Genomic DNA, 22,622 nt, shown 5'->3' with positions numbered 1-22,622 from the left:
AGGTCATAGGGAATATTTTGTTCAATTTCTCAATGATACGTGCTTTTTATGTGCTCTTATGAGCATTTTAACAGGTATGGAAATTGTGTAGCTAAAAATACTTGGGATTTAATTTATAGAGTGCTAGGTCACACACTTGAAATGGGAGGAGGCACATAAAGCCAATACTCATGCATAGCCATTTTTAAAATATAAAACCTAAAACAGTGCTTGACATGTAATAGATGGTTAATAAATACTTACTGAACAAATGAGTGACCTCTAAAAAATAGGTTAAAGAAAGTATATTAATGTAAAGGATTTCCAAGGAGGTATACAGGCTGTGAACTGAGTGTAGATTTCCCACCTCCTCACCTGTTCCAAGTAGTCTTTGGTGCCCATCCATGACCCACCACCCTATAAATTCCAGCTCTGCCATATACACCTTTATTTTTCCAACTGAAAGTGCCACAACAAAAAAGCAATACAAAGATCATGTCTGAGCTAAGTTTGACAATAGGTGGTAGTGAAGCTTACAGATGAGCACAGTCTTCAAAGTCCATCCAAATAGGAATAATAGCTAACACTTACTGACAGCTAATAGAAGCTATACTAGAGGGATACAACAATAGTTAATGCTAGCTATACAATAATAATAAAGCTAATTTGTGCCTACTATGTGTCAGGCTTGTTAGTCCTTCACATGCATTAACTTACTTAATCCCTTTAACAATTGTCTGATGTAAGTGCTATTATTATCATTTTGATTTTACATATGTGGATAAACAGATTAAGTAACTTACCCCAAAATCACAGAACTGAAAAGTGGCAGAGTTGTGAGCTGAACCCAGGCTGGCGGGTGCCCAGAGTTTACCAACTGAACTCTTTGAACTCTCAGTGGTAAAATTAAAAGTTCCCTGCAAGCTGACCTCTTGGAGCACTCGTGTCAGGAAGATGACATTTCTGGATAATATAAATTGGCCCCAGTATTTCTGTCCATAAGGAATGAAGCATTTTTATTTGGGAACCCTATACACAAAGTGAGACCCAGGATATAAAGGAGTAAGGCAAGAAGAACAAGAAGAAATGTCATTCTCTTCTGCCTTGGCACAGCATGGTTATCACAGCCTAAGAACAATAATAATGGCTAATTTTGGCTAATAAGATCTCCAACTTTGACTTTCTCCTAAATAATGTGGGTCCTTGCGTGAGGATATTTTCTAAAGAAGCAGCAAAGATATTGCCATCATTCATTTGCTCAGTGGTGTCACTAAGAAAAATACTTCCAGAAAGAAAATTAAGGCCAAAACACTTCCTTAAACCAGGCGTAAAAGTCCTCTAACAAGGAATTTAAAAGAAAAAGATCAACACCGGATTTATCTTTCTTAAGTAACTATCACTTGAAAAACCGTCCCTCCCAGCACTCCTTAAGGAGCCAAGCATACTGACAAGGCCCCTTTGGTCTAAGACTGCGACCTCACACCCCTACTGATCGCTGAGAACTCAGGAAAGGGGAGCATCCCGCCAGCCTAGAGCGTTATCTGCACAATCTGAATACCAAGGACGGGAGAAAGAGAAGTTTAGAAAACAGTGAAGATCCCAGAAAGGAAGTTCAACTGACCTAGAAGAAAGGGCCCAGCTGAAACTGCCTTTCAAGCTCAGTCCGATTCCCCACAAATCTCCCTACATCCAGCTATATCGCCCGGCAAAATGAAACAAACACAAGGTAAGGCAATACAAGGGCAGGAATTATGCAAAATAAAATGCGTAATGAGGATGTCTCTCCATCAAAAATACTCCAGGATTTTCCTACACAATCCCATGTAACAAAACCAAATGCAAACAACAATAAACCCTTAAGAAGCGCATGAACAACGCAGACTGAGCCCATCTCGCCCCACCTCACGCCGCACCCCGGTACCCTGGCTAAGGAAAATGTGACCCCCGCCCATGAGAAGCCTTCCGGCGTCCGGCCAAGGTCCAGGAGCCGCCGGAGTTGAGTTTGCCCAACTCTTACCCAGGTCCAGAGATCTTGAGAATCGCAGCGCAACCTTTTCTCCCCGGTCTTCACCCAAAGCCAGCCAAGACACAAAATCTGTTCCAATCAACGCGGTTAGCGTCCAAGCAGCGTCCCAGAAGAAAGCAATCTTTGGGAGTCTTCTTTCAGGCGTAAAGGTGGAGAAGCGGGAAAGAGGAACGTCTCAACGCGTTCCCAGTCGCCCAGTTTTGCGCACCGGGAAAGTACTTGCTGCAAACTTGAACAAGGTTTTCTCTGTCTGGCCCGAGATGCTGGAGGGGGTGGGGGCGGGTAACCCGAGCCGGGGCCGGGATTCGAGCAGTTGCCGCTGCTGCAGCTGCTGCTGCCGGGGCAGTGGCCGCTGGGGGGTTGTCGCTTGGCGCCGCGCGCAGTCCCTAGCGCAACATGCAGGATCTTCCCGGCCTGACTGCTGCACCTCGATCGTGAGTCGCCCCTGCCTGAGCGGCTTCCACCGCCTGGTGGGTGACCCCGCCAAAGGCCTGGTCGCGAAGTTAGCAAATGTTGGGGTCACCGCAGGGGGTGACCGAAGGGGTGTCAGAGTGGGTGCCCGCCTGATTCCCAACCCACGTTGGGTGCAAGTCCCTCGGCAGAGTCCCTGGGAGGTGTTCTAGACCCTCTGTAAGGATTTGTGGGACGGTGGCCGGCGCCCGAGCGGCCAACTGGAGTGGACGGCGGGTCCTCAGTGGTGTCAGGGGAGAAAGCGCAAAGGTGGGACCCAGAAAGGATGGTGATTAAGCCGTGCCAGAGAATGTGATGTGGCAGCAAAGTACATGGAAAGGTGGGGCGGGGAGGTGAAGGCAGAGGGTGGAGGGTGGGATAGTCTGCTTTACCATGGAGGGGCGGAGAGAGAACTCCCCGGACGCGCAGGAAAATCCCCCCAGGTCCTCGGAGGCCTCGCGCGGCAATTTATTGGGGAATGGCTCCCTCTGCCGACTCGCCGAGGAGGCCCCGGGAGGCCCAGTGATGGAATGTTAAAACCATGAACGGGCTTTTCCATTTGTGGGTTAGACAGGACATGAATTCTGGAATCTGCTTCTCTGACTGTCCATCTTCCTCTTCCAGACTAAAGAGTTTTCCAGCTTTTACAGGACCCCAAAAGATACAAATTTGACTGCTGCAAAGTTCTTTCTTGTGTCGTTGAATTCTATCCCCCTCTCCCCACAAAAAAACAAAAACAGGTTTAAGCCCCATAACCACTCCAGGTAACCATCTCCTACCAGGCTTCTCTTCCTCCCATTAATAAGAACTCTTTCTTTTTAGAGAGACTTCAAGAGCGTTCGAGTCCCTACTCAATAACGCTCCTGGAAAATAGTACAGACTCCATATTATGTTTGAGTGAATAAATGAATGGAATGAATGAACATAGATATGTTTGAAGCCCCTCACCATCCTCTTTACTCTCCCTGGAAATACACAGGGGAAGACTGTTTTGGTGTTTGTTTATTTGTTTGTTTAGCAGTCATCATTGCCCCTTCTCTGGTAACAGTACCTCCATTTTTCTTTGAGATACCATCCCTGCCACAAGGACAGCAGTCTGGGTGGAAGGTCAGTCAGGATGGTCCAGCTTTTCCCTGTCCAGAAGAGAGCAACTGACCTCAGCTAAGCCCCTCAGGCCCTCTCTGCCAGGAGTTGGAACTTTGATCTGGGCAGCACAGGCACAAATAATTCTAGAGGTGATTAATCCATATGGCTGTTTTCTAAGGAAATTGGCTGTTAGTTCATGCCACTTATTACCCAAAGATATTTTGCTTTATGAAACTTGGTTGCCCCACTTTCCTTTTAATTTTTTAATCAACTTTATTGGGGGATAAGTTACATTCCATATATTACACTCATATTAATTATACAGCTTCATGAGTTTTGAATAATGTACACACCCATGTAACCACTGCTTCAATCAAGATAATGAACAATTCCATCACCTCAGAGGGTTGTCTTGCACCCCTTTAAAGTCAACTTCTATCCCACCTCATATTTGGCCCGCTTAGCTGTTTTCTGTAACTACAGATTAGATTTGTCTTTTCTAACATTTCATATGAATGGAATCACTTACATATTCCTTTGTGTCTGACTTCCTTCACTCCACACAATGTTTTTGAAACTCATTAATGTTGTGCCTGTATCTGAAGTTTGTTCCTTTTTATTGCTGAGTAGTATTCCATTGTATGGATATACCACAATTTGTTTGCCAGTTTACCAAATGATGGACATTGGGGATGTTTTCAATATGGGGTTATTATGAATAAAGCTGCTAGGAACAATCTTTAACAAGTCCTTTTGTGGACATACATTATTATTTTTCTTATCTTACAGGAGTAAAATTATTATTACAGTAACTGTGTGTTTAACTATATAGAAAGATGAACTGCTTTCCAAAGTGGAAAACATTTTACATTCTCACCAGCAAGATATGATAATTGCTTCACATCCTCATCAACACTGGGTAGTTTCTGTCTTCTTATTTTTGCCATTCTAGTAAGTATATAGTGGTATCACATCGTGGTTTTAATTTGCGTTTCCTTACTGACTAATGATGGTGACCATAAAAGATGTTTACCAGCTTTTCATGTGCTCTCATGCCACCTGTTCTTTGATAAAGTGTCTGAATTTATTGCCCAATTTTTAATCAAGTCTTTGGATTCTTATTATTGAGTTGTAGGAGTTCTTTATATACCAGGCATTTGTTAGATATGTATATAACCAATATACACTCCCAGTCTGTTTCTTGTCTTTCAATTTCTTAATAGTGTCTTTCAAACAGCAGTTTTTAATTTTGATAAAGTCCAGTTTATCAAGCGTGTTTTTGTGTGTGTGTGTTGTACTTTTAGGTTTTACATAAGTAATCTTTGCTTACCCCAAGGTCATGAAGATTTTCTATGGCTTCTTATAGAAGTTTATAGTTTTAGCTGTTATATTTAGGTCTACAATCTATTTGATGTTAACCTTTGTGTATGGTATGAAGTAAGGGCTGAGGTTCATTATTGTCTACATGGATATCCAGTTGTTTTGGCACCATTTGTTGAGAAGATTATCTTTTTTCCCATTGAGTAACTGGATACCTTTATTGAAAATCAATTGGCCATAGATGAGTGAGTCTATTTCAGGATTCACTCATTATTCCTTTCATTTGATCTATATTTCTATTCCTATGCCAAAACCATACTGTTCAGATTGCTATAACTTTATAATAGGACTCCAACTTAGATGTAATAAGTCTTCCAACTGTGCTTTTATTTTTTTTCAAAATTTGTTCAACTCTTCAGCTTTTGTTTTTGTTTTTATTTGGTTTTCATCTTCCATGTAAATTTCAGAATTTGCTTGTCAATGTTTTAAAAATTCACTTTTCTAATTGAGAGTGCCTTGAATCCATTGATCAATTTAAGGAGAACTGACATAAAAATATCGATTCCTCTAACCTATGAACATTTATCTCTCCATTAATTTAGGTATTCTTTAATGTTTCTCAGCAATATTTTGTAGCTTTGAACATGGCAGTATTACACACAATTTAAAAAATGAATCCCTAAGTATTTTATTTTTAATATTTCATAAATGGAATTATTTTTGAGTTCTTGTTTCCAATTGTTCATTGCTAGTATGGAGAAATACAGTGGAATTTTGTGCAGTACCCTCACATTTTGCAACATGGCTAAATTTACTTATTCGTTCTAGTAGTTTTTCTTTTTCAGTTTGCTTAGGATTTTCTACATGCTCTGCTTCTTTTATTTATTTGTCTTGCCTTATTTCACTGGATAGGATGCCCAGTACAACATTGAATACAAATGCTAAAATTTAGTATCCCATCCTTGTTGCTCATCATAAACCAAAGCAATCTGTCTTGTACCATTAAGTAGGATGTTAGTTGTAAGTTTCATTAAACTCCCTTTATTAATTGAGAAATTCCTTCTATTTATAGTTCACTAGAAATTGTTTATTTTACCATGAGTGACTATTTAATTTTGTCAAATGTTTTTCTGTATCAGTTGAAATTATTATACGGTTTTTCTCCTTTTTTCTGTTAGTTAACTGAACTGCTTATTAAACTTGCCTTGCATTCTTGGGTTAAAGCTTACTTGGTCCATGTAATGTATTATATATTTGATATACTGTTGGATTTGATTTGCTAAAATTTGTTCAGGATATTTGTGTCTATACTCATTAAAATTATTGGTCTGCATTTTTATTTTCTTGTTATCTCTTTGATTAGAAGTTCATCAATTTTTAAAAATCAATTCAAAGGATCAGGCTTTAGTTTCATTGATTTTTTTCTATTACTTACACATTTTCTACTTTGTTGATTTTAGCTCTTACCTTTACTATTTCCTTCCTTCTATATACATTAGATTTATTTTTCTCTTCTTTTTTCTTTAATTTCTTAAAGTCAAATTTTTGCTTATTGATTTTTAGATTTTTTTCTTATACAAGCATTTAAAATTATAAACTCCTCTCTAATAATTACTGTAACCATGTTCCACAAATTTTGATAACCTGTTTATATAGTTCAAAATATTTTTTCTTTAACCCATAGGTTATATAGAACACTGTAATTTAATTTCCAAATTTCAGGGAATTTTTTAGGTATTTGTTTTATTGATACATAATGTTTTACATATTTGCAGAATTCATGTGAAAATTTGTTACATGCATAGAGTATGTTACAAGGGGAGCATCTCGGGTATTCATCACCTTGAGCATTTATCATTACTATGTGTTAGGAACATTTCTAGTCCTCTCTTCTAGCTACTTTGAAATTACAACACATGGCTGCTAACAATAGTCACCCTTCTCTGCTACTGACCATTAGAACCTACAACTTCTATCTAACTGAATATTTATACTTATTAACCAACCTCTCTTCAGGTCTCCCTCTCACTCACACACTCTTTCCAACATTTGGTATCCATTATTTCACTTTCTACCTTCAAAAGATCAACTTTCTTAGCTCCCACATATGAGTGAAAACATGTGATATTCCTCTTTCTGTACTTGGCTTATTTCACTTAATGTCCTCCAGTTCCATCCATGTTGCTGCAAATAACACGATTCCAATTTTTTATGGCCGAATAGTATTCCACTTTGTGTATATACCACGTTTTTTAATCCATTCATCAATTGATGCATGCTTACATGGATTCCATCTCTTTGCTATTATGAATAGTGCTGCAATAAGCATGGGGCACAGGTATCCTTCTGATACATTGATTTCACTTCCTTTGATTAAATACCCAGTAGTGGGATTCAGATATATTTTTATTTATTTTAATTTAATTTTATTACAGCCAGCAAGAATAGTTCATCTTATTTCACTGCTTTTAAATGTGCTGAGACTTGCTTTATGGCAAAAATATGGTCTTTCTTGGTGAATGGTTCATGTGCACCTGAAAACAATGTACAACTGCTGCTGCTATTGGGTAGATTGTTCTAAAAATGTCAACTGGGTCTCATTAGTTGACACTGTTCATCAAGTCTTCTATTTCCTTACTAATTTTTACTATCTTTATTCTGAACACTACAACATAACTAATGCAATCTTAGATTAAGTAGACTTTTTTGTTGGTGGTAACTATATCACTCTGTTAACATAGAATTTATAATCTACTAAAATTCCAATTATTTTTCATATTTGCTATTAATCTTGACATCTTAAAATATTATTTGTATTTTTAGTTGAGAATTTCATAGTAATATTATAAGACTATTCATTTAGGTCTATCAAATTCCATTTTTGTATATGCAGTCCATCTTTAGAACCTGTCAAGGGCTTGGTGGAGCTAACTCTTTTCCTAGTATATTAGCTAGGCAGGTTGAAATCATGATATTGGGAATTGATCAGAAAGCCACGATGCTCTTGAACAAATAATTATTAGACATGTAGAAGCAGATAGAAATAAAATGCATATTCTAACGGAGACTTTCCTCTCCATTTATATTTATTCACATCCTGTAGTACAGTCATTCAACTGCTGATAAATTCTACAATTCTATTATTACATCCAGTCTGCTTTCTTCATCTGATCCACAAGGATTTTATGAGATATTTTTTCAATTACCTTATAAATCCAGAGATATTCTCATTTGTTCCATTTACCTGTCTGCTAATATTTTGAATAAAGAAAACTAAGTCACCCTACCAGTTCTACCTCTTAGCAAACAAGATTGGCTTCTTATACCCATAATTTCCTTTCAGTAGTGCTCTCAAATTATGCTTCTAAATCTATGATTTAAAAGCTTGCTTAGTTACAGCAATAGACTAGAGTTCACAGAGTTTACCTTCTTCCCACTTAAAAAAATAGAAGTGGGGGTTACAGCAGAGTGTAAACTCATAAGTATGGCAGAAGGTTATCATTTTTTTTACTTCATTCAATTCTAACAACAAGAGGCATGTATAATTATTCCTGCTTTACAGGTAAGAAAAAGAAGGCTCAGAGAGATCAATTATCTTGCCCATGATCCCATATCTAGTGAGTGGCAGAGGGAGGACTGACCCTGGGTCTGACTTCAAAGCTTATGCTCTCTCTACCACTTCACCTGCCTCAGAACTACATCTGTTTATTCTGGTCTTCTGATTGCTTACTGTGGTTCCTCAAATCTCACCATTATGCTATGTTTAAACACTTTTTCCTCATAGTCACTGAAAATCTACACTGAAAAAAAAGTGTTCAGGAGCCTTAAAGCTCTTGTGTGTACACAGCTTTATCTCTCCCCACAACACAAATGCAGGCAAGATTGGAAGAGGTCATGTCTTTAGCCATAGGTCTCAGCCAAGGGACATAGAGGATTAGAAAGGTGGGGTTCTTGGCCCATGAGTCTCCTCCCAGATGCCTTCATTTCGGTCTTCTTCTTCCAGTCCTAGATATTTTTTATGCTCCCTTCTCCAGTATGACTCTTGTCCAGGTTTTTGAAAAGATCACTGTCTTTTAAAGGTAGTGGAGGAAGAAAGGGAAGAGCAGAACAATGGATGAGGAAATTGTATTTGCAGCCTTGGACCCTGTATCAGGAGTTAGGAGTACTTTTCTGTCTTCTTCATGTAACATGTCTTCACAGATTTAAGGCAATCCTAGTATTCTTACTTTGAAAGGGGCAACAATGGGATTCCAAATTCATCCGTTTATTTCCCCTAGCTTAGTGTTTTCCCCCAAAAAAAGTTTTAATATGATCCACAGTAAGAAGTACATTTTTCATTATGAACAAATTCTTATCTTTGTAAGTATATAATTAGAACAAGTTTCATGAAACAACACTTACTCTTACCATATGTAATGCCCTCTCATGTTTTCTTAATGATGCTTCTCGAACTTTAATGTGCTCATTCATCAGCTAGAGATTTTGTTAAATATGAGGTTCTGATTCAGTATCCAGGGTGGAGACCGCATTTTAACAAACTCCTACGTGGATGCTTCTGTTTCTTGGATTGCACTTTGAGAAGCAAAGTTCTATTCTGTATTGTTTTATTTAAATGTTAAATTACTTTTAGGACTCCCAAATGTGTCTGGACTGGCAGTTTGTAAAAGCATTGCTGGTGTATTGGGGCAGCATGCCTATCTAGGATATTCTTGTAAACATAGACTTACTGTGGAGTGGGATCATGCTTGGAAGTAGTTCAGCAAGAAACAGGATTTATCTTCCATATACCAAGACCAGAGAATCACAGAAGTAAAGACATGAATATCTTCCTGAAATTGCTTTTTTTAAAATTTCAACATTTGATATAGTGAATACATCTATTACAATTTGGAATAAATAAATCTAAATATTCTGCATAATGAGGACTTATGAATGTGTGTGAAAAGAAAGTTGCAAAAGTTGACTGAAGGTGAATATGGCAATGATGTAAGTATCAGGGGGAATAAAACATTTCCTGTAGTATGATCTTCTTTTGTCTGCAATATGAATGCATACTGTATCAGTCAGGGTTCTTGTTTTCAAGTAACACAAACCAACTCCAACTAACTTAATAAAAACAACACTGAGGGATTCCAGAAGAGAGGGCAGCTGGGAGGCCCAAAGTTAAAAATGAGCAAGAATCCCTTTAGAGGACTGGGGAAAAAAAAATCAAAGCCATAGTCTCAGAGCTGAACCAATCTGGTCAGGCTGTCCCTGCTGAGATTGATGAACTTGAACCATTTCTTTCCTTAGTCTTCACATGATGCTCTCAAGATCAAAGTCACAGGAGAGAGCATTCATTTGACTGAACTTAGGTTTTGCACTTCCTCCTGACTATTCTGAGAAAACAGGAAGGCTTTGGCCCTTCAAACTTCCATAGTGAGACAGGTGCCTGATACACCATCCTTCCAGAAGCACAGAAAAGTGGGGAGAGGGGATGTTGTCCCAAAAAGAAAAGAGGATACCACTGGGAAAAGAAACTATTAGATTGGTACAAAAATAATTCCAGGTTTTGCCATTAAAAGTAATTAGAAGTAATGGCAAAGCCTGCAATTACTTTTGCACCAATGCAATAGATTCTAAGTCATCAATAAACTATACTGGACACAGCGCTGCGAATTGGTCAGGCCTTTATTACAAGTATAGCAGTAAAGTAAATGGGATTTCAATTTTGGGGAACCATGGGCATAGTCTCAGAGAGTAAATCATAATTGGTGCATATTTGAACGTGTATCCAAATCCACTCCTTGAAGGACTTAATAAAAGGCATCAGAAAACCAACTTCGACACCACCAGAAACCACTGCTGCAGCTACCCCAACCCCTATTCCTTTTCCCCTATAGGAAAAAACTAAGAAACTCAAGAGGAGTCATCAGAATTCCTGCCATGTGGGAGTCATCAACCCAATGGGTGACTTCTTTTCTGCTCCACATATAAGAGGTAAGAGGAATATTTCTACCCTCCTATGACAGGTTAAGTAAAAATGGAGGGGGAAGCAAGAGAAATAATCACAGTGATGAAGAATACTAGCAAGAGGTAGAAACCAGCCATCTCCAACCCTAGTTAGACTTCTGTGAAGTGGGGCAGGCAGATTTACTCTCCCCACACATTTCAACAGGAGGAAAGGAATTGGAAAGAGATAGTAGGCAGCTTCTGTTCCCATTGTTTGGTGAGGCAAAAATGCCTGAGTTTCCTTAGGGCCAAATCGACACCACAAGAGGTATCTGGGCTTAAGCAATCTTGTCCCTGCCCTGCCTAAGAGGGTTGCCTGCTAGTGGAGGAGCACAGCCAAGGAGCGGGAGCTGAAGGTGGAGGGGGCAGAAGAACTCGGGTTGTGGTCATCACCCACATCAGATGCCTGTGCAACTGGGGCCCCTGCTAGGCCTACTGAAGAGCCTGCCCATGCCCTGCCCTTCAGCAGTGTCCAGACATCTGCCACAGGCACAGTTGGCCATCCCGTGTGCACCACAGCAGCAGCAGCTAAGCAGATGCCTGTCCTTTCCTTCATCCCTGCTCCAAGACCCCAACACTCCAGGAGATACAGAAAAGACGAAGGAAGAGCGGGAAGCAGAGGAGCAGGAGAGAAGCAATGTACACACAATTCCCCCAGGGTAGGACCACTGGCCCCTGGTCACACCTGGACTGACAGGAAGAGTGAAAAAGTGGATATAATCTGACACTCGAGATATAAACTTAACTTTTTAAACCTGAAAGTGTCTGAAATGCCACAGACGCTTCCTGAGACGTCGTGAAGGGACAGAAAACTCTCATCAAAGCATGCCTGAAAACAATGTAGGAGAAATCAAATAAAAGGGCTTCATGTTAGTATCCCACTGACTCTCCAATAAACTGGTTACACAGCAAAAGAAACTGACTTCCAGTACTTTAAGCAGAAAAGGAATTTATCGAGAAGCTACTGGGTGCTGAGTATAACACCCAGAGGGCCGGAAGACTAGGTTAGGAAGATGGTGCAAGGACAGAATGAAGTTCTGCTCCCAGGGTTAAAATCATTCCTCGGAACTGGTCTGGGAAAGCCCTGCCACTGGATGCCAGATGCTGGAGTTCTCACCGTCAATGCCTTCAGCCCTGGACACTGACTCTGAGGCAACCACTGCCTCTGGGAATAGGAGGTTGCTGACTTCCCTGAGCTGCCAAAAGAATTCTCCATTGTCCCAGGTTCCAATTCAAAGCCCAGGGCTGATGCATCTGATTGGCCGAGCCTCAGACGCATGCCCAAGGCCCCTTTGGAAAGGAGTCCTAAGAAGCAAGTATATGCCCTTTGTTGTTTCTCTCCTGCGAGGAAAGCTCTTCCTCTCAGCAAGTCTCATAAGCAGCGTTGCTATAAGCCCATAAGGTGCTTTGTGCAAAATGAGGAAAATGCATGCCTCTAGTTGGGAAAATAAGCAGGAATCTTTCCTTTCTCCAGTGGCTACAGAACACTGTCAGCAATCAGGGATCCAGCATGCCTGGATTTCAGTCTCACGTGCCCTCTCTGCTGGGAGCCTTTGTGCAGTGCACAAACTGCACGCGTGTATGTAGTAGCCCTGCTAATAAGGTGAGTGTTTCTCAAATACAAACGGGAATGCAACTGAGGTAACAAATACATACTACAGGAGACTTCAGACAGGGAGAAACACAGTTAACAGATGATGAGCACACAACTTGATGGGGGCCAGTGGAGAAATGCTATTATGAAACCAAGACAAGTGAACAAAAGCCAGGCAAATATTGGACTTGGCTGAGCACACACTTCATGTATTAATAAAACTGAACCACCATCATGAGGAGCATCTCTTTGCATCTTGTATGGAATTTGTCCTCCAATGAATGGAGGCATCAAGTAATATTGACAGAGAGAAGGCACATCTGAATCATCACGCAGAATTACTTAGAACCAGCAAATGTTTAATCAGTGCAAATGTTATGATTTACAACACCACCCCTCCTGAATGAGAGGATCATTTTCTCATATTTAACAAAGAAGATTTATAAAAAAATTTTGTATGTTTTCATGTTAAAATTAATATTCATTTGTTCACAAGTACGACAATAATTTAGCCAAGTATTTTTGAAAGAAAACAGTGGATATTATTTTAATACAATATAATAATATATAAACTCTTTTGCCCACATATTCATGATCAAATTAAAAGTAAATACTAGTGAGTTATTGCTATTTTCATCCTGAAAGTAATAGAAATAGAAATAGAAAAGACAAATAGATTGATCAGATCATTTTATATCAACTAGTCAGGAGGGAAAAAGCAGATTTGATTCAATTAAGTGATTTGTCTATAACACCATCCTGCATCAGATCAATTGTATTGTGCATGCATTACCCCATCAAGCTTCTACCTTGGTTGATTTTACAGATGCTATGTCTGGAGTCTCTTTCTATAGTGGGGTGCTGGGTTGATAGTCTATTTGGGGAGGGTTCAAATTAGAATGGAAGGAGAAGTATTTGACACAGAGTATTGTCTTTCAAGTTTTATTCTAAACTGTAGCAAAAAAATGAGGCAGTAATTAGACAGGGATGTAAGATCACAGGAGAGTTTTCTGCGGTGGGAGGAACTGCTGTTTTCATATGCTGTTGGGAATGACCCGTGGAGATCCAGTGTGGCTGAGGGGTGGCTTGCTATCACTCCAACACTATTTCTGAGAATTCTTGGCTATTTTAGTATTCTCTGTGGATGACCTTTTCAACAATCCTGGGCACTCAGTTCCAGGATCTCCTTTCTTCCAATGAACATGTTCTCCATCCTACCTCAGCTACTCACTACTATTGCCACAACCTAGACTTTGTCATGATCAACAATTGCAGCCTCTCCATAATCTCAGTTTCAAGCACCTCACTCTTCCATAATTATTTTTCTAACTCTCTTGTTCACTCAGTCTGGAGCACCAACTCAAATAATTCTTCTAATAAATCAGTATCCAAATCCATTGATCCTAGCCTTTTCATGTTCCTCAACATTTTAAGTCTTTGCCTCCCTCCTTACTTGGCTTAAATACCATGGTCAGTCATCATGGTAATTTACTTCCATACACTCAACTCATTTGCTCCTCTCTTGCTGCATTTTACTCACCCGGCAAAATCCCAGTGCTGGTTCAGTCCAACTCTCCACAAACTCCATGGTGGCACTGGTGCAATTTAATGTGTTGGAGAAAAGTAAAAATACAAACATTAATGAGCATCACTCTAAATTCATGACTACTAGTACTAAGTGGATCCTTGGCACTACCCAGCAACCCAATTATAACTCCTTAGTTCACTTGCTCTTCCATTCTTCTAGATGGTGACCTTCTCTCTTTTCAAACATCCAATATCTCATCTTTCATCTTCACTGTCAGTTGAAGACCTTGCTTCTCATTTCCCTATTTCACTGAGAAAACTGAAGCAATTAGAGAAGAATCTCCACAAACTTCTGCAACTACAGCTGGTCATCCACCTTCATGTCTGGTCGTGTGCTTTGTCTTCCCTCCTGATGAATTGACCACACTCTCATTTAAGGCTGTCCTCCTCACTTATGCACTAAATTCTTTCCCTTGGGCCTCCCAAATGACGTGGATTTCTCCCTGTCTTTCCTGCATTATTAATTCTCTCCTCTCAACAAGAGTATTCCCATCAGCATTCACAAATATTTCTTCCACTTAAAAAAAGAACTCTGTTTGGTTCTCCTCCTACAGCTATTCTCTTCACTGTAAACTCCTTGAATTAAATTTCTAAACTTAGTATCATATATTTTCCTTCTATTCTCTCTTAAATCTCCTCTAATCAGGGTTTTGGCCCCAACCCTCAATTTAATACTGCTCTCTTTTTTTTTTCAAGGTAATCAAATGAGATCCAATTTGCTGAAACCAATTGTCAGAAACATTTTTCTCTTCCCTTCATTGAATATCTTCCTTGACTTGATATCCTGGATACCAGACTTTTTATAGTTTTCCCTTTTTCTCTCTGGTGGCTCCTTCTGTGTTACCTTTGTTGGTTTCTTCACATCTTTCCAACCTCTAAATTTTGAAGTGCCCAGGTCTCAGTCATTGGATCACTTTTCTTTTCTAGCTACAATAACTCCATAAACTATCTCATTCAGGCTCAGAACTATAAATACCATTCCTTTACTGACCACTCCTAAATATAGATCTTCAGGCTTGACCTCTGCCCAGCTGCCTCCTGGACATCACCACTTGGTTCACAGATGTGCATCTCAAAATTAATATGTTCAAAACCCAACTCCTAATTTTCCCCCAACAGTCTGCCCTTCCCAAATTCATCCTTGTCATCTCCATCTCAGCAAATGGCATCTTTTTCCTTTCATTTGCTTATATCAAAAACCTTGGTGTCATCCTTGAGCTGCTCTTTCTCTCACACCCTCCATTCAAACTATAAGCAAATTCTGTAGGCTCTACCTTCAAAATACATTCACCAACCTACTCCAGACCTTCATCATTACCCCTGAATTAATGCAGTGGTCTCTTTATTGTTCTCCCTGTTTCTGACCTTAACCCTCCACCAACCACTCCCAGTGCCACAGCTAAAGTTATCTTGTTAAAACATAAGTTAGATCATGTTTCTCTCTTACTCTAGCCCCCATGTTCTCCCATCTTAGAGTCAAAGTGTTCACAGTGCCTCTGTTTCAAGTCTTGTTCTCCAGAAAATGGACTCTGAGATGGAGATTTGTAAGCAGGAGGTTTCTTGGGTTTGCTCTCAGGAGTAACACTTGTAAGGAAGTGAGGAAAGCAGAATTCGGCAGAAGGACCAGTGGACTGTGATACAGTTACAATAGGCCCACAGAGCTGGCCTGAATTGAGGCAAGAGCACCCAACTCCTATACTCCCTCAATGACAGTCTTTGGATGTGGTCTGCTCCCAGGAGAGAGCATAACCTTGCAAATGAAGTTCTTTTCTGTTGAAGGCAATTCCAGATGAGGAACTGAGCTAGGAGCCATCTACATCCAAAAACTCTTGCACCTGGGGAAATGAGTGCCTTGGTCCTGAAGCGCACATGGTATCCACTACTCTCAGTGCTTCTTGGTTTTATCTTCTGCTCTCCTCTTGCTCTATACTTCAGATACTTTGCTCTCCTCTTGCTCTATACTTCAGATACTTTGGTCCCCTTGCTTTTATTCAAATACACCAGACTGACTTCTACCTTAGAGCCCTTGCAGTTCCCTCTGCCTGGAATGTGTGGCTTGCTCCCTGATCTCCTACACATCTTACTCAAATTTCATCTTCTCAATGAGCCTTCTTATTCAGTATTGTAGCCCATCACCCCTTCCCCAACACACCTGATCCCCTTTACCATGCTCTACCTTTTCTTTTTTAATACCACTTTTCACCTTCTACTATCCTATATAATTTACTTATTCATTATGTTTATTGTTTGCTATGTCTTTCTCCCACTAAAATAAAAACTTCTTAATCTTTGCCTATTTTGTGTACTGATGTATCTCAAGCATGAAGAGATGTCCTCATGCATAGCAATTCTCAAATATAATGAATATATTTTAAACAAAAGTTTTATAACTCAGTAGAGGATTTTTGTTTTCCACTTGGAAATTATCTTTCCTAAGTAGGAAATTCTTTTTAACATCACAGTCTTCTGAATATGAATTTATTAAGTCACTTAATCCATTTGCCCAAACCACAGAGTTGCCCAAACACAGCTCTCAGTTGAAGCAGGCTTATCTCTCAGATTATAATAATTATCTCACTCCTGCTATAAAAGTAAAGGAAGGGAGGAGAAGCTGCACATAATGAATTAATTAATCAAGGCTTTAATTTTTCTTTAAACCCAGGGAATTCATATTAGCCTGCCTTGTTATTTACCCAACTACCCTCTGGGATATTAATACTATATCCTACGGTTTACAGCCTTAAATGGTCATGATGTGTTTACACAGGTGAAGAGCAAGTGCTCTGGCAGAGCCTTTCCTTACATTTCTTGTACATTAATTTACCTCGGAGTCTTCACACTCTGGAATGTCACTGACATGAAAACAACAGAAGGTTGTTTCACTAAGTGCAGTGCTTTGACTACACTAAGAAAAAGATAGTTATGTTTATATGGTTATAATATGGTAAACAAGGGAATTGGAGCCCCTAGCAAGACTTTCCTGGTTACCCAGCCCTGCTCAGCCACCCCTACTACCCTTTGGGCTGGCTGACCCATCAGTTGGGGAAGCTCTGCTAGATTAGATGATGTCATAGGAAGTGAATTCTAACCAATTGGTGAGTGAAACCAATCCTCTATGACAAATATGATTCACAATTTCAAATTGCTTTCTTCACCAAATAGTCTCACAAATATCTTTTCCTATAACAAAAACAGTCTACTCTCGGTGTCAACAATCCCTTGAATTTTTAAATAAACATTCAAATATGTAGGAAAGTCCTTCACCCCTTCTGTTGGATTTGTCTATTGACACTCAGCCCACCTTATAAACTTTTCCATCCTTCCTTACAGTGCAGAGGCCAGAAGCCTGAGAAGTGTATTTCTGTGACATCCTAGCCAGCAGAGTTCTGGAGGTATTTTTAGTCTCCATCTTAAAGATAAATTCACATGATCTTCGAATTCGAAAGGCAGCAGTAAGGCAGAAATTATTTCTCTTCTTTCTCTGGCAGCAGTAGAAGGCATAGCATGGGCCTCCTAAATGTGAGTTTCTGTAGTAGTTTCTATGTCCCTTGCCATTCCACCCATCTTGGGGCTACAAAGTCCCATGAGATAAGCAGGAGCTTCCTGCAAGCTCCCGACTCTGATAGATAGAGACTCTAACTTTCTGTGGTGCTGCACCTAAAAGTTAGTGGCAGGCCCCTGACTCACTCTCCTTCAGCCCTTGATTATTTAAGCACCTGATGCACTGTAGTAAATCCTCTACTTGAAACACTTGGAATGCTTTTCATATTATTGTCTGATCCCTTCTTATAAAACAGGCATAGAAACTTTCCTTTTTGATATAAGACAGGCAATAAACATATACTTTAACTTTCGTTTTATGGTAACAGATATGTTAGTACTGTCTAAGCTTTTTCCTATCTATTTAACACAATATAATGATGGCTAGCCCAGGGCTTGTCTGCTGGTGCCTCAACAGACTTTCATTCTTTCAATTTCCTATTAAACTACCAACAAGCACTATGGTTTTTCCTTCAGTTATTTCTTAGCCAAGGGTAAATTAAAGAATATGAGGCTTATAATTTTCTATTACTGTTATTACACAAAACACATGACCAGAAAAATGAGAGGGATATGGATCCCTAAAGAAAAAGCAAGGGCTTTTCTAGAAAAAAATGGTAAATAAATTTAGAGAATCAAACAAAATATTCACTACCATCTAACTACCTGAACATAAAAGTCATCTTTATCTCATACATCACATCAAAACAAATTTCAGAGAGATAAAAGATTTAAGTATTAAAGTAAATGACCCATAAGAATACTTGAAGACAATCTCAGTAATTACTTTTAAAACCCTTGCTTGAGAAAACATTTTCTAAGTGTGACACCAAAGGCAAAATCCATTAAAAAAAATAGATTTTTAAAATCTTTTGATTTTAGAAGTTTTAAAATATATCAAAATTTAAAATAATATAATAGTTTCCACCACCTACATTTCACAATTACGGCATAGTTGGTTTACCATCTATTTTTATTATATCATTCTAAAGTAAATTTAAAATATGAAAATACTTTACTTCTAAATGCTTCAGCATAGATCTCCAAAAAATTGAAATATACTCTTACAAAACCATGATACCTTTATCACACCTAGCAAAATTGAAAATAACTCTATTGTATTATCTAATATCTATTAGTCCATTTTCAGGTTTCTTCATTGAAACAAAAATTTTTCACAAAATTATTTCCGTTCAGATCAGGATCAATCATTACATTTGGTTGTTAGCTCTTTTAAGTAAGTCTTTTTAAATCTAGAACAATATCTTCTGCCCCTACCTTTTTTTCCCCATGATACTGACTTTTATAAGATCTCAGATCTGTTTGGGTTTCTTTGTAGAAAACACCACATTCTGGGCTGATTGTTTTTTCATGGTGTTATTTACCATGATTTAAGATTGCTAGATTTCATTCTGAAAAAAGAATTGAGATAGACATCCAGAGCTGTCCAGTGGAATTTTCTACAATGATGGAAATGCTCTATATCTATGCTGTTCATTAAGGTCACATGGTCATTCATCACTTGAAGTATAGCTGGTGTGAACAAAGAAATGAGTTTTAATTTCATTTAATTTAATTTTAATTAATTTAAATTCTAAACTTAAATATTACATGCGGCTAATGCCTGCTGAATCATTTAAAGTACCTATATGCTGCCTGTACATAAGTAGGTATTTGATAAATGTTAGTTCTTTGGCCTTCCAAATATAGTTTACGAAAAGCATGCTATCAAATATACTACTATATAGATTCAAATGAAGCTGTGTGTATGACCTTATCATGTAATTAAGACCTTTTCAAAAGCAGAGAAGTAAAGGCCATCTGTTTACTTCAGGAATCTTCATGATCAGCACCAATTGCTATGGTTATCTGGTTTCATTATCCACATGAAAATATCTCATAAGTAGTGCAGTTATTCTGCAGTCTGTATCTTTAACATATATACATAAGGCTTAAGAGTTAGAATTCAAGGGATCCAAGATGGCCAATTAGAAGCAGCTGCAGTGCATGGCACTCACAGAGCAGAATGAAAGCAGGGAGTGAATACAGCACCTTCAACTGAAATATCCAGGTACTCACATTGGGACTGATGAGGGGAAACAACTCGACCCATGTCGAGTTTTTTTTTCGACATGCAGCAGCGTGGGGCAATAGCCCACCCAAGAGCAACATTGAGCCAAGGGAACCCCCACCCCTGGCCAAGGGAAGCAGTGAGTGAATGCACCACCCTGGGAAACCACACTTCTCCCACAGATCTTTACAACCTTCAGATTAGGAGATCCCCTTGTGAGCCCATGCCATCAGGGTTTTGGGTCCAACACACACTGCTGTGTGGAGTCTTGGCAGAGCAGCTGCTCCGGCATGCACAAAGACCTGGGAGCTTTACATACTCCAGCCCCAGGATCCCCAACAAATGTGGCTGCAACTCAGGCAAGGAGGGAGGTCTGTACATACCCCTAGGAAGGGGATCTAGAGATTGCCCTCTCTCACCACCCCTATTTTGGAAGTTCTGGCCATAGCATTGGAAGATCTGGCCAGGGCAATCAGGCAAGAGAAAGAAATAAAGCGTATTCGAATAAGAAGAGAGGAAGTCAAACTATCTCCGTTTGCAGATGACATGCTCCTATATCTAGAAAACCCTATCATCTCAACCTAAAAGCTTCTTAAGCTGATAAGCAACTTCAGCAAAGTCTCAGTATACAAAATCAGTGTGCAAAAATCGCTAGCATTCCTATACACCAACAACAGGCAAGCTGAGAGCCAAATCATGAATGAACTTCCATTCACAATTGCCACAAAAAGAATAAAATACCAAGGAATACAGCTAACAAGGGAAATGAAGGACCTCATCACGGAGAACTACAAACCACAGCTCAAGGAAATCAGAGAGGACAGAAACAAATGGAAAAACATCCCATGCTCATGGATAGGAAGAATCAATATCGTGAAAATGGCCATACAGTCCAAAGCAATCTACAGATTCAATTCTATTTCCATTAAACTACCATTGACATTCTTCACAGAATTGGAAAAAAACTATTTTAAAATTCATATAGAACCCAAAAAGAGCCTGAGTAGCCAAGGAAATTGCAAGCAAAATGAACAAAGCTGGAGGCAAACTATACTAACTATACTACCAGGCTACAGTAACCAAAACAGCATGGTACTGGTACTGGTACAAGAACAGACACATAGATCAATGGAACAAAATAGAGAACCCAAAAATAAGATGGCACACCTACAACCATCTGATCTTCAACTAACCTGACAAAATAAGCAATGGAGAAAGGATTCCCTATTTAATAAATGGTGCCATAAGAACTGGCTAGCCATATGCAGAAAATTGAAACTGGACTCCTTCTTTACACCATATACAAAAATCAAGTCAAGATATCCATCTTGAGACTTTAATGTCAAACCCAAAACTATAAAAACTCTAGAAGAAAATCTAGGCAATACCATTCAGGACACAGGCACAGGCAAAGATTTCATGACAAAGACCCCAAAAGCAATAGCAACAAAAGCAAAAATTGACCAATGGGATCTAATTAAACTTAAGAGCTTCTGCACAGGAAAAGAAACTCGAAATAGTGTATTAATCCATTCTCAAGCTGCCATAAAGAAATACCTGAGACTGGATAATTAATAAAGGAAAGAGATTTAATTGATTCGTAGTTCCACAGGGCTGGGGAGGCCTCAGGAAACTTACAATCATGGCAGAAGTGGAAGCAAACACATCTTTTCCACATGGCAGCAGGAAGGAGAAATGCCAAGCAAAGGGGGAAAAGCCCCTTATATAACCATCAGATCTTGTAAGAACTCACTCACTATCAGGAGAACAGCATGGGGGGTGGCCACCCCCATGACCACCCACTGGGTCCCTCCCATGACACATGGGGATTATGGGAACTACAATTCAAGATGAGATTTTGGTGAGGACACAGCCAAACCATATCAAACAGAGTAAACAAACAACCTACAGAATGGGAGAAAATGTTTGCAATCTATGCACCTGACAAAGGTCTAAAATCCAGCATCTATAAGGAACTTAAACAAATTTATAAGAAAAAAAAAACCCCACTAAAAAGTAGGCAAAGGACATGAACAGCCACTTCTGAAAAGAAGACATACATGTGGCCAACAAACATATTTAAAAAAGCTCAACATCACTGATCATTAGAGAAATGCAAATCAAAACCACAATGAGATACCATCTCACACCAGTCAGAATGGTTATTACTAAAAAGTCAAGAAACAAGTGCTGGTGAGGTTATGGAGAGAAAGGAACACTTTTACACTCTTGGTAGGAGTGTAAATTAGTTCAACCATTGTGGAAGATAGTGTGGTAATTCCTCAAAGACCTACAGGCAGAAATACCATTTGATCCAGCCATCCCATTACTGGGTATATACCCAAAGGAATATAAATCATCTACTATAAAGACACGTGCACATATATGTTTATGGCAGCACTATTCACAAAAGGAAAGACATGGAATTAACCATCAATGATAGACGGGATAAAGAAAATATGTGGCACACATACACCATGGAATACTATACAGCCATGAAAAGAAATGCGATCATGTCCTTTGCAGGGACTTGGATGGAGCTGGAGGCCATTATCCTTAGCAAACTAATGCAGGAAAATATAACCAAATACCGCATGTTCTCACTTATAAGTGGGAGCTAAATTATGAAAACACATGGGCACATGGCAGGGGAACAAACAAACTGGGTCCTATCAGAGGGCAGGGGGTGGGAGGAGGAAGAGGATCAGGAAGAACAGCTAATGGATGCTGGGCTTAATACCTGGGTAATGTTGACAGTGGGGTGTTAAAGTCTCCCATTATTATTGTGTGGGAGTCTAAGTCTCTTTGTAAGTCTCTAAGGACTTGCTTTACAAATCTGGGTGCTCCTGTATTGGGTGCATATATATTTAAGATAGTTAGCTCTTCTTGTTGAATTGATCCCTTTACCACTATGTAATGGTCTTCTTTGTCTCTTTTGATCTTTGTTGGTTTAAAGTCTGTTTTATCAGAGACTAGGA

At 39.2% G+C, this 22,622-nt stretch overlaps 2 protein-coding genes across 9 annotated transcripts in view; one reads left to right on the top strand and one right to left on the bottom strand.

Annotated features, from left to right (window-relative positions):
• MEGF10 (multiple EGF like domains 10) overlaps window positions 1-22,622 on the bottom strand; it is a 231,923-nt gene that overhangs the window by 168,170 nt on the left and 41,131 nt on the right. For 4 of the 6 annotated variants that reach the window (NM_032446.3, NM_001256545.2, NM_001308119.2 and 1 more), the window contains exon 1: window positions 1,997-2,257. The exons of 1 other annotated variant lie outside the window; for it this stretch is intronic. Coding sequence is in view for 1 of the 5 variants with exons in the window: in XM_017009987.2 (XP_016865476.1) it covers window positions 13,987-14,041 (55 nt within the window). In the remaining 4 variants the exon portion in view is untranslated. Of the gene's footprint in view, window positions 1-1,996; window positions 2,258-13,986; window positions 14,042-22,622 lie in introns of those variants that run through there. One more of the 6 variants, XM_017009987.2, reaches the window with a different exon arrangement.
• LOC105379199 (uncharacterized) overlaps window positions 1,477-22,622 on the top strand; it is a 37,642-nt gene continuing 16,496 nt past the window's right edge. For 2 of the 3 annotated variants that reach the window (XR_007058921.1, XR_007058922.1), the window contains exons 1-2: window positions 2,317-2,475; window positions 10,744-10,840. Coding sequence is in view for 1 of the 3 variants with exons in the window: in XM_047417987.1 (XP_047273943.1) it covers window positions 1,930-2,244; window positions 10,744-10,840 (412 nt within the window). In the remaining 2 variants the exon portion in view is untranslated. Of the gene's footprint in view, window positions 2,245-2,316; window positions 2,476-10,743; window positions 10,841-22,622 lie in introns of those variants that run through there. The other variant, XM_047417987.1, reaches the window with a different exon arrangement.

The sequence above is a fragment of the Homo sapiens genome, chromosome 5, assembly GCF_000001405.40.
Source record: "Homo sapiens chromosome 5, GRCh38.p14 Primary Assembly".
NCBI classification, from domain to species: domain Eukaryota; kingdom Metazoa; phylum Chordata; class Mammalia; order Primates; family Hominidae; genus Homo; species Homo sapiens.
The sequence above is the reverse complement of the archived record's forward strand: the minus strand, read 5'-3'. Positions and strand labels throughout refer to the sequence as shown.